The sequence below is a fragment of the Homo sapiens genome, chromosome 10 (genome assembly GCF_000001405.40).
Source record: "Homo sapiens chromosome 10, GRCh38.p14 Primary Assembly".
NCBI classification, from domain to species: domain Eukaryota; kingdom Metazoa; phylum Chordata; class Mammalia; order Primates; family Hominidae; genus Homo; species Homo sapiens.
In genome coordinates this window covers 66,108,617-66,121,867 of record NC_000010.11, presented here as the reverse complement: position 1 = coordinate 66,121,867, position 13,251 = coordinate 66,108,617, and the positions used below count along the sequence as shown (strand labels likewise).

The following is a 13,251-nucleotide window of genomic DNA, read 5'->3' as shown; positions in this document are numbered from 1 at the left end:
GTAAACCTCAGCAACTTTTTTTTTGAGACAGGGTCTCACTCTGTCACCCAGGCTGGACAGGTGGAGTGCAGTGGTGTGGTCTTACTGCAACCTCTTTTTCCAGGGCTCAAGCGATCTATCCAACTCAGCCTCACAAGTAGTTGGGACCACAGGCATGTGCCACCATGCCTTGCTAATTTTTTGTAGAGAGGGGTTTCACCATGTTGCCCAGGCTGCTCTTGAACTCTTCACCTCAAGCAATTCACTTGCCTTGGCATCCCAAAGTGCTGAGATTACAGGCATGAACCACTGCACCTGGCTACAACTTTTTTCCCACATGATTATTCCAAGTTTTGATCTGTTCTAAAATACCATGTGATTTATTAAGCTAGTATATATAAGATAGTGTGTGTGTGTGTGTATGTATGTTGTATTAAAAAAAGAAACTGAGGAAATACTGAGGTGGTGCAATTTTAAAAGTCTGGAGCTTCTTTTGAAGGAATACATAGCTAAAAGAAATAAAGAAATACCTATTTCTAGCTACAACTAGCAGTGTTTTAAATTAGGTAAAGAGATTTATAAGCAATAACATTTAGTGATTGTTAACTTCCATTATAAATTAACAAAATTAGGTCAAAGGCTAATAGGGATCTTTTTCAGTGAAGAAACTTGACATAATTTTAACTCTTAATTTCTATGCTTGAGCTTCTGTGTTGTACTTAGTCTCTCAAAGAAATAACTCAGGGTTCTGATCACTGGTTTGAGAGAAGGCTAGTAGGCAAGATTTTTGTTTCCTAGCTTCAGTTGCATTACATCTCCATTTCATGTTATGTATATAGGACACCTGATTTAGATTTTACATGGAAAAGGACATCACGGAGAGAAGCTTGAAATGTATGAAAACCATTGGCCTTCGCACCTGGGTTATTTTCACAGCTTCTGTTGCATACTTCCATGTGCATTAGGGGACAACAAGGAGTGCACAATCTTCCCATTCTGAGTCACTTCTTGTGTCATTTCAGATCTCTCCTGCTTTCTTTTCCTCTCTTTGGACTTTCCTTTTTGCCTATACATGCCTTTTAAAGAGAAAATAGTTTTCAGTTTTTAAAACTTATTTAAACTTTCACTGTCTGGGTACAACCTAGCTTCTCTAAAAGTTACTTCTTAGTGTTTTCAATTATCTAACAAAACAAAATGTGAGTGAAAGTAAAAAAGCAATAATATTTTTAAATTTCTTAATTGTGTTAGCAGCTGTTCTCCAATTTATAATCATATTATTTATAATCATAATGCTTTAAAAATTTTCATATAACTTACTACTGCAAACTTCACAGTGCCTTGAGATACAATAAATCCATTTTGCAGAATAAGGAATCTAGACTCTAAAAGTTAACAAAAAAAGACATAATTAAGGTCACCTAGTCAGTAGATAACTGGACCAGGACAAATTTTCTACATTATTTATTTAATGTAATTCTAACAGTATTAACTAGACAGTATACTTAATATTTATTGACATAAGTCAGAATGACATGATAGCTAATATTTACTGAGCATTTATTGTGTTCTTGGCACTATATTCAGTACTTTACATTACTGTCATATATTCCTCACAACAACCCTATAAGATAGGTACATCACAATTGAAGGAATTTAATATGATTAATGCTACACAACTTCTTATCCATGGTTTATCATAATTTAAAATTAATTATTTGAATGTGCATGGTATCAACTTATCTTCTACACTACCATCTTAGAAAAGAAAAAAGAGAAGGAAGATAAAATTTTTAGTGAGAACCTACTGTGTGCTCTGAGCTGAGTTATAAAACTAGTTTCACACGAGAATGAAAAGTGTGCCTTACATAGTGTATATTCAGAGTTGAATCCACATCCTTCTCCATTGACCATACAAAGTTTACAATGAGAAAGAGGTAAAATATAGAACATAAAGAAGGCAGAGACAGCTATCTTTATTTTTCAATATATGAAACCAGATGCCAAATAAGTTTTCCAGAGTAACAGAATAAATAAATATTAGACAGGAAAGCCCTTTGATACCACATGGGCTCTTTATTGGTTCCTCATCAGCAACTACCACAGTATCTGGCATATTAATGAGTGCTTATTTAATAAAAAAAATTGATTGAATACATGAACGAATGAAAAACAAGAATGAGAACCTAATTATCCTGTCTTTTTACCTAAGAATGACTGAATTTACCCCTTACTCAGTTCAATATATAATATAAGTTATCTTATTTTTTCATTATACAAATAATCCATAGTTAAAGCCTAAAAAAGCTTTACAATTACACAGCCTAATCCCCTAGGAGGGATCAAAAAGTGATAAAACAGCATGAGGAGTAAAAAATATATGTATACATTTGTCTGCAAGATCCTAGAAAATCTTGAAGAGTACTCTGCTGTTCACTTTAGCACTAAGCTATAACAATTTGTAAACATTAGAGTGAGAGAGAGTAATAGGAACAGCTTGTAGGGTGTCTAGCAAAACAAACCAAACTGAACACTTTGTAATTAAATTTAACAATTTCATCTTACAAATAATACTGTATGTTGATAGAAAAATGTGAACACTGTTTCAATATTCATGAAGTTTTGAATAAAACAGTACACAGAACTTGGGCAATGTTACATTAGCTTCATAATGGTGGTATCCTCATCTAATTTATGACAGTCCCACCATACCTAGCATACTGTACTTCATACATAGTAGGTAATCCATGAATACCTGCTGAATGTAATCTGTATCTATTTAAAAGTTCTCTGTTTTAAAATTTAATAAAAATCAATGTTTTATATCTTTAAATTTAAAAAGAATAGTGTGGCTGGGCATGGTGGCTCACCCCTGTAATCCCAGCATTTTGAGAGACAGAGGCAGGATTGCTTGAGCCCAGGAGTTCGAGGTCAGCCTGAGCAACATAGGGAGACCCTGTCTCTCTTAAAAAATAGTAATAATAAATATAAATATAAAAAGAATAGTGTGACACACAAACACAGTCATTGCGGTTAATTCAATTAAACCAAGCTGATGCTTGGTTCAATTAAACCAAGTAGATAGAATATGGCATGCTTTTTCATCTTGCCACATTGATAACAGTGATCCTTTTCCAAAGTAGATCAGCTCTCTCATTGTAAAACTAATTTTAAAACAAAGTCACCTTTACAGAGACAAATGATTATTACTGGTTTCTGCATAGTGGATGAGATCTGCAGGGAGAAAAAGTTCTAAGACAGAACAATGTTAGAAAAAACATTGTTGACATACTAAATTACTTTGAATAGGTGGAAAGATAAGAATATAAGGTGACGGTTAGAAGGGAAGAAAAGATTATTCCAAAAGAGAGGACAGAGCATAGCTAAAGAGTGCCTGGGACTTATTTCGGTCATGTTGTAAAAAGAATGATTGATTTTAAGAATAGTATATGTTATTATTAGTTTTCTTTAGCATATACCTTCAGGGTTGTAATCAGATGGTACTAATCTTGTTCATCAAGAGATAGCTTGAGTAGGTTTTGAAAACAACATTTCAATCTATATATGCATGGCTTGGCCCTGGTGACGTCTAAGACTACTGGATAAATCCAAAGGGAGTAGTAACAGAGAGGGAGGTTCCTAAAAAAAAATAGGACAAAGCAAAGACATAAGGAAAGCTGATGAAATCCAGTAGATGCCACCTGTACTTATTACAATGATTATTTGTAATTGCTTTATTATTACTTAACTCTGGTATATTTTTAAATAAACTATAGTCAAATTAGTCGTATATAAGAGGAAGTATAGGTGCATAATTTTCTTAAATCCTCCATGTTTAACTAAAAGTTGGTCCATGCCAATTCAGTCAGACATAATCAAACATCTGACGGTAACTCTCCCAGGTTACACAGCATGGTGGTCCCTCAGCTGTGGTCTCTCTCTTGGGCTGCTTTAGAAGGCGGGCAGGGCCAGTGGCCTGATGATCCAGACTTCACACTGTATATCCACACACACCAGCTCCGTGGTGTTATGGCTTACTTAGGATAGCTCCATAGTACTCTTATATAGTTGTCAATAATATTGGCATTCTATAATTTTATTAAAAATGGTTTTACTACTTAAATTACTTTTGAAAACCATTGACTTAAATGAAACTTGCTTTGATATTTCATAAACACTATAAAGTGATAGGAGAATCACATTTGCTGCCATATTGCCAGCCTTATTAGTGGTCCTTTCACATTCACATCCATATAGAAAAGCCTACATTTGGTAGCATGCTTACTAAAAGCTGCAATGTTTCTTGATCTCTAAGTTCCTCTGGTGAGAGGACTCATGAACAAGGTGTCTCTCAACTGAAGCTCATCTTTCATTACTCAACAACAAAATATGTGGTCCCCTGCTGCAAAATCAAGTTCATTTTTTAAAATAGAAAATAAGTGTGTATATTAATTGATTAAAAATGATCTTGTAGCATTACTACTTCTTTTATGTATTTATTCAACAGAACTTCAGCTATACTATATTATATTAGTAGCATATATAATATAGTATTTTGCCAAACAATGTTACACTATGTAATAAGAGTTCATATAGGCATTTCACATTTTTGACAGCATTGAGGCATAACATTTAATAAAATGCACATTTAAAATATACAATTTAATATGTTTTATTGGCTTATGTATAAAACCCCAAGGCTATCACCATAATCAAGATAAGGAACCCATATATCAAACCCAAAAGCTTACTCATACCCCTTCACAATCTGTTCACTCCTCCCACCAACTCTCAAATAACCACAGATCTGATTTCTGCCACTACAGATTGACTGGCAAGTTTTAGAATGTTATATAAATGGAATCATGCAGTGATATGGTTTGGCTCTGTATCCCCACCCAAATTTCATGTTGAATTGTAATCCACATGTGTTGGAGGAGGGGCCTGGGGGGGTGGTGATTGAATCGTGTGTGCGGACTTCCCCCTTGCTGTTCTCGTGATAGTGAATGAGTTCTCACCAGATCTGGTTGTTTAAAAGTGTGCAGCGCTTCCCCCTTGGCTCTGTCTCTCCTGCTCCATGTGAAGATGTGCTTGCTTCCCCTTTACCTTCCACCATGATTGTAAGGTTCCTGAGGCCTCCCCAGCCATGCCTCTTACACAGCCTGTGGAATTGTGAGTCGATTAAACATCTTTTCTTCATAAATTACCCAGTCTCAGGTAGTTCTTCATAGCAGTGTGAGAGCAGACTAATACATACAGTATGTGTTTTTATTTAGCTTCTTTTACTCAGTATAATTATTTTTAGATCCATAAATATTGTTGCTTTAATCAAATTTATTCCTTTTTATTACTGAATCATATTTCATTAAATGGGCATACCATTTGTTAAATAATTCATCTGTTGATTAAGATTTGAGTTGTTCTCACTACTGGGATATTACAAATAAATCTGCTATAAATATTTGTATACAAGTCTGTGTGAATATGTGTTTCTATTCCTCTTTGGTAAATACTAACAAGTAGAATGACTAGATTCTATGGTGTGTATATATTTAATATTTAATATGTTAAGAAATACATGGACATTTTAAAAAAAACAATTCTCCACATTAAGTTTGTTTCCTCATTTGTCCTAATTCCTTTGGTCAGGACAAGTCTGTGTAGAAACAGCACAATGCATTTGCCATGAGCTAGTTTCACAGCCACTTATATCTGACTACATCTTATACAATGATGTATTCACTTGCCTCTACAAATAGGCCTTTTAGTTTTGGAACTTAAAAATCTCTTTAAATACAGAGCATAATTCTTCCTTAGGTGTTGTCCAAATATTTGTTTTGTCGCATTCTAGTTTTCTATTTTATATATAAGCTGCCAACTTAAGCTACTTTAATTTAGCAGTGTAGGGAATTCTTATGTCCCATAAAGCAAACTTCAATCCAGTAACCTTGAATAATATGTCCAAAAGTCTAATATAGATCTGAATTACTGTCTTATGGAGCAACACCCCCCTACAGTAATGTGTAATTTCTTTCATATTTTTTTTTGACCAGTGAAATAGGAGTGTCAGTTTTGGCCGTCCTGCTTATCCTTACTTAACATCCGTGGCTGGAACACAGCAGGCAGTTTTTTGCTTTATTACTGTGCCTAGGATTACTTTGCAAATGTAACCAGATGAATTTGGTTAGGATTGTTGATACTATACCTGGCAGCTTAACGATTTCTGAAAGTAAAAGACATCGTGTCAGTTTATATCTCTATCTCTATCTCTATCTCTATCTCTATCTCTATCTCTATCTCTATCTATCTATCATCTATCTGTCTATCTATCTATCTATCTATCTATCTATCTATCTATCTATCTATCATCTATCTATCTATCTATATTCCCCATTGGGAAGTCAAACCACAACATCTCTTTCCCTCAAAATCTTTGTTATGGAAAACTTTTGTAAAACCACTTTCCAAGACACTGAAAATGTAATACCTAAAATAATGAAGTAACAGCTTTTACGCATCCACAGAACAAAAAAGACCATACAAAACAGGGAAATAGCATGGGACCTGGTAAGGGACACTTCTCTGTATCTGCTGTCACCACCCCCTTTAATGTTTGCTCTGATAATAAAGACATACACTGCAATTTTCCTCTTGTCAATCGAAAGATTTTTTCTGTGTCCACATCAGCTTCAAATATCATGCAACGTTGATAGACCTATTGCAAGGTGACAAGGCCAGCTATACTACCCCACTGCAGATTTTGCAATCTTGTCCTTTTTGTATTGCTGACACGTCCTTGAAATGGTACGTTCAACCTTAAGCAGATTTTCCTATAACACTCATTGCTTGTTTTTTTTCCTTATGATAAAAGATAGAAAAATGTTTTGTAACAACTTAGAGACAAATCAACTAAAAGAGGAAAAGTCACTTATAATATTCTACAACCCATAGATGATAATTAATAAAATATGTTGATATATTTTCTTTTACTTTTTCTTTTTCTTTTTTTTTTTGAGATGGAGCCTCACTCTGTCGCTGAGGCTGGAGTGCAGTGGGGTGATCTTGGCTCATGGCAACCTCTGCCTCCTGGGTTCAAGTGATTCTCCTGCTTCAGCCTCCCGAGAAGCTGGGATTACAGGCACGTGCCACCACGCCCAACTAATTTTTGTATTTTTAGTAGAGACGGGGTTTCACCATGGTGGCCAGGATGGTCTCGATCTCTTGACCTCGTGATCTGCCTGCTTCCGCCTCCCAAAGTGCTGGGATTACAGATGTGAGCCACTGTACCCAACCGATATATATATATTTTTCATTTTATTTTCCTCTTTCTCACACACATACACGGACAATATGAGTTTTAAATAATTAGACTATATATATATACATATATGCACACATATATACACATATATACATATACGCACATATATACACATATATACATATATACACATATATACATACGAATATACACAAATATACATATATACACATATACATATATACACACATATATACACACACACACATATATATACAGATATTCAGTTAACAATATTTCAAGTGCATTTTCTCTGCTATTAGACATTCTCTGAAACTCTTATTTTAATATCTATAGAATAGCATTTTTGGAAAAGAAAAATGAACAAATTTTAAGTTAGACTCCCTTTTACTGTCTAGTCTAAGGATAAGATAAAAAAAATCACATATGTAGAGTTTATTTGGCTATAGAGTTTGATGAAAAAGGTGAGATTTTCCTCACTAAAATAAATTGGAATAGGTCTGATATTCATGGCACCGGTGTTCTGATTTTTGATCCGACATTCAGACATAAGAGTTGAAGGTCAGGGTGTGTTTCTAGCCATCTGCTGCTACTGTTGCTACTACTGCTGCCACCACCATTTTTAGCATTCCCCCCACTACTGCTCTTATTATTATTGCATGGTTTCAACCACCTCCCCCCATAGATCAAGAAGAGTAATGGTATTGCCACAATTGTCAATGGCATCAGCAATTGCTGTGCGTGAAGAACCCTCACATCATCCTACATAGTCCTGCATAAAGGAAGTTTAAAAAGCTGTTTCTAATTTCCTGAGAAGTTAACAATCTATAAGAGATTTGTGATCTAAAATTGTATTCAGCATGTTGAATAAAGGATATGCTGACAATACAAAGTTTTCTGAAATAGATATTCATTATCTTTCCTGATACCTTGCTAAACCTATCATAAAATTCTAAAGTTAATAAAAATGACTGAAATTTTATAAATAATTAGTCCAATCTTTTCATGTACCACTGAGGAAGCTGTGTTCTCAACAAGTTAAGTTCTTGTTTTAGGTCACAAGATATTAAGGGCAGCGTTTGACCTTGAATCTGGATAGTCAATCCTAGATATTATGTTCTACCATAGTTCCAGCCTTATGTTGTAAGAAGTTTTGCAAGTCACTTACCATAGATTTTCTGTTCCTAATTTGGAAATAGGATATAAACTCACAGCTCTGTCTCAGAGCATGTTTAGTAGGTGTGCTTATTCGTAGAGCTTAATTCAAACAATTAAAGAAAAAAGAATAACTTAGGAACATCTTGCAGGTCCACTGACACACTTCTATGCATGCTATAGGTGAAAATTGAATTCATCTCAAGCTTAGTATAACTTAGAGCCAGAGTACCACTAATCATCATGGACATGAAAAAAAAAATACAATGAGATATCACTTCACACTTCTTAGGATACCTATTATCAACAGCCACAGAAAAGATAAGTGTTGGTGAGTATATGAAGAAATTGGAGCCCTAGTACTCTGTTGGTGGGAATGTAGAATGGTACAACTGCTTTAAAAAATAGTATGGAGGTTTCTCAAAATTAAAAACAGAACTACTATATGATCCAGCAATCCTACTTCTGGTTATATGTCCCAAAGAATTGAAATCAGGATCTCAAAGAGATATCTGGACTCCCATGTTTATTTCGGCATTATTCACGATAGCCAAGATGTGAAAACAATCTAAGTGTTCATTGACAGATGAAAGGGTAACTAAAATGTGATAAACTTGTAAGATGGAATACAATTCAACCTTAAAAAAAAAGGAGATCAGTCATATGCAACGACAAGTGTGAACCTTGGGGACATTATTCTAAGTGAAGTAAGCCATTAGCAGAAAGGCAAATACTGCATGATTTGCCTTATATGAGGTAACTAATGTTTTTACACTCCTAGAAACCATGAGCAGAATGGTAGTTGTCAAGCTGAGGGGAGGGGAAATGAGGAGTTGCTGCTCCAAAGTTATGAAATTTCAATTATGCAAGATAAATAAATAAAGATCCTACTATATATACAGCATTGTACCTATAATTGGCAATACTATGTTATTCACTTAAAAATTTGTTAAGGGTAGATTTCATATTAAATGTTAATACAATACTGATAATAATAGTGTAAAGAAAAATAATAACAAAATAGAGGGATGCTAATGGTTCCTGGAGGCAGTTTTGAATTATATTTTAAAAGATTGTAAGAAGAAAAGTCACCAATTCTTGATTTTGACAAATAGAGACATACATCTTATTTGCATCTTCATTTATTCTTCTGTTGCATTAACTCAATAAAATATGTATTTACTGAGTACTGACTGTGTGCCAGGCACCGTTAGACACTTGGGTTATAAAACTGAGAATAATACTAGATGCCTTCTCCCTCTGGTGGCTATAACAGAAAGATATGTGTATTCAGGAGATTAACCCTATTTTGAATTGATGTGATGAATTAGAGTGGACTATGTTTCAATCAACTGAACTCAACAGATTTACCGAATCTTCACTAGCGTTGAGATCTCTCAGTGTTGAGGAGGTGTTTGATCCAGCCTAATGTTTGTCACAGCCTTATTATGTTTTCAGTTTAAGCATCAATTCATAAAAACTGAAAATTCAAAGGATTTACAAAAATTATCAGTTTTACTTACTTCTCATCTTCATTTTAAAGGTCAAGGAATTTAAGCATAGGAAAAGTCTGAGATTGGCCTAACAAAAAACAACTAGTTTAGTTAGGACACCCAAGTATCCTAACTTCAAGTTCCATTAATATCCCACCGTAACACAAGCCTACCAGCTTTCTGGCGATATAAGAAATATCTTCCCAGTTTTTCCTCAGGTGCTTTACACTCGTTCCTCTCTTCTGCCTGACACATCCCAGGAAATTTTTTCATCTCTAACCACTCAACTTCAGTCTCAAATCATATAACTCTATGGAATATCTTTCATCTCCATCTAATATTCTTACCCTTTATCTCTCTTGAGGGCAAGGATTGTGTTTTATTTCCTTCAAGATTCCCAGTATCTAGCATAATTGTTCCTGTCTACATACGGCCATGCCGTGCATGACAATGTTTCATTCAGTGATGGACTGCATATAGGATAATGGTCCCCTAAGAAGGCTATAATGGAACTGAAAAATTCCTATCACCTAATGACATTGTATTATTTGTTCTCACATTCCTATAAAGCACTACCTAAGACTGGGTAATTTATAAATAAAAGAGACTTAATTGGCACACAGTTCCACAGGCTGTACAGGAAGCATGGCTGGAGGGGCCTCAGGAAACTTACAATCATGGCAGAAGGTGAAGGGGAAGCAGGCACATCTACAGGGCAGGAGGTGGAAGAAAAGAGCCAAGGAGGAGATGCTGCACACTTTTAAATAGATCTCATGGAAACTCACTCACTATCATGAGAAGAGCAAGGAGGAAATCTGCCCCCGTGATCCAATCACCTCCTACCAGGTCCCTCCCTCAGCACTGTGGATAACAATTCGACATGAGATTTTGTCCGGAGCACAAATCCAAACCATATTAGATGCCATAGCCATCTTAACATCGTGACACAACACCTTACCTTTTCTATGTTTAAATATGTTTAGATACACAAATATTTACCACTGTGTTACAGTTGCCTATAGTATTCAGTACAGTAACATGCCATACAGGTTTGTAGCCTAGGAGCAATGGGTTATACCATACAGCCTAGGTGTGTAGTAGGTTATACCATCTAGGTTTGTTTAAATATACTCTATGATACTTGCACAGTGACAAATTCATATAATGACACATTTCTCAGGATGTGTCCTGATTGTTAAGCAACATGACTGTATATGTAAGACAATCGAATATGTTAGTTGAGTTAACTTGAGTTGATTATATAATCAAGCAAACTTAGATTAGCACTGGATATCTTTAGATAATCTCATTATGAATAAAAGATAAAAACAAGATCAGCAGAATGAAAGCAGCTTATTAAATTCTGGTATTAAGATGACAAACAAATGATAGAATTTCCTTTTTTTAAAGGCTAAATAGTATTTCACTGAGTGTATATGTTTGTGTGTGTATATATAGAGAGAGGGAGAGCTCACAGTTTCTTTATTCATTCATCCAATGAAAGACACCTAGGTTGCTTCCATCTCTTAGCTATTGTGAACATGGAAGTGCAGATATCTCTTAGGCATATTGATTTGAATTTTTTTTTTTTTTTTTTTTTTAGACAGAGTCTCATTCTGTCACCCAGGCTGCAGTGCAGTGGCATGATATTGGCTCACTGCAACCTCCACCTCCCAGGTTCAAATGATTCCCTTGCCTCAGCCTCCCTAGTAGCTGGGATTACAGGCACACGCCACCACACCCGTCTAATTTTTTGTATTTTTAGTAGAGACGGGGTTTCACCATGTTGGCCAGGCTGGTCTTGAACTCTTGACCTCAGGTGATCCACCCTCCTTTGCCTCCCAAAGTTCTGGGATTACAGGCATGAGCCACTGTGCCCAGACCCTTTTGAATATTGTTTTCACCACAAAAAAATGATACATGAGTGAAGAGATAGATTTGTTAATTAGAATTTAATCATTTCATAATGTTAATATATACTGTTGTAAACATCACAGTATGCTACATAAATATATAATATATACAATTATCAATTAAAAATTTAAAAAACAAATTTTAAAAAAGGCTGCAAGCAAGTTTGTAGTTTTTTTTTTTTGTACTTTAAGTTTTAGGTTACATGTGCACAACGTGTAGGTTTGTTACATATGTATACATGTGCCATGTTGGTGTGCTGCACCTATTAACTCATTTTCATACATTTTCTGATATCTTCTTCCAGTAGTCTGGTTAAGACTAAAATGTCTTCTCTCTTTTGTCTTGTAAACATAATGTTATTATATGGGATATGACTTTCAGTTTACATACTTATTTGCAAGTAAATTTATTTTTAACTTGGCTCATGGGAAATTTAAATATAGTCATTCTTGGGCCTTCCCTTACTCCTGCTACCTATGTTGGGCCAAGTGAGCCAAAATTCTTGAGCAATGGTTCTCAAGTGGGTGATTCCTAAGCCTCCAAATTTCCAGGGGATATTCGGTAATGTCTGGAAACATATTTAATTATATCTCATGACTTGAGAGGGTCCAAATGTGTGTGGTAGATAGAAGCTAGGGTTGGTGCTAAACTTCTTACAATACACAAAACAGATTCTCACAACTGGAATTATTCAGATCAAGACGTCAACAATGCTAAGACTGAGAAACACTTCTCTTGAGGCTAAGTCTGTCTCTGGAGGCTTGGGCTGCATCAAGATGTCAGGGAGTCTCACCGACCCTGTCATTTACCCACACTGGTTGCCAATGAGACATCCATTGTCCCAGCCCATGTAACCCTTTCAGGTCTACCACTGTTTCCATGACAAGTTTGTGGCACGGGGCTATGGTAAGATTTGAAACACTGTTCTGGGCTTACTGGATGACATTTTCTCTGAAGTCTTTTTTATCCATATTGGATTGTCAAGGAGTAGGGCAAGTTAGTACTGATTATGGAATCATAAACTTTTTAGTCCTCCACATCTGAGAATCTCTTCTGAGCTTATGGAAAACCTTTCTCTACACAAAATCTCATCTCTAGTTTCCATAGGATTTTTTTAAAATTCAAGAATATTTGCATATACTTTTCTTTAGGCAAGGAATTATTGATTCAATACTTATTAAAAGACAGAAGGCAAAGGATTATACATTCTCCACAGCTCAAAAATGTTCCCATGATTTTCTTGTGAAATTGATCAATAACAAAAGCTTGTCAGTAATTAAATTGTTTGCTCCTTTATTCAGCTAAGAAATAGAAAAATTGAGACATACTATGTGCCATTTCATGAGTGGAAAACAAGACAAACAACATCCCTATTTTCATGTAAGTTAAGTTCTAGTAGGGATAAAATAAAAAATGTAACCCACCTGCCAA

At 35.1% G+C, this 13,251-nt stretch overlaps 1 protein-coding gene and 1 long non-coding RNA gene across 12 annotated transcripts in view; one reads left to right on the top strand and one right to left on the bottom strand.

Annotated features, from left to right (window-relative positions):
* CTNNA3 (catenin alpha 3) overlaps positions 1-13,251 on the top strand; it is a 1,851,072-nt gene that overhangs the window by 1,641,727 nt on the left and 196,094 nt on the right. The gene's annotated exons all lie outside the window — the stretch shown is intronic.
* CTNNA3-AS1 (CTNNA3 antisense RNA 1) overlaps positions 1-13,251 on the bottom strand; it is a 65,310-nt gene that overhangs the window by 22,682 nt on the left and 29,377 nt on the right. For 3 of the 4 annotated variants that reach the window (XR_007062172.1, XR_007062171.1, XR_007062170.1), the window contains exons 3-4: positions 3,456-3,615; positions 899-1,055 (exon numbers count right to left, since the gene is read on the bottom strand). This is a non-coding gene — a long non-coding RNA (CTNNA3 antisense RNA 1). Of the gene's footprint in view, positions 1-898; positions 1,056-1,296; positions 1,362-3,455; positions 3,616-13,251 lie in introns of those variants that run through there. The other variant, XR_946026.3, reaches the window with a different exon arrangement.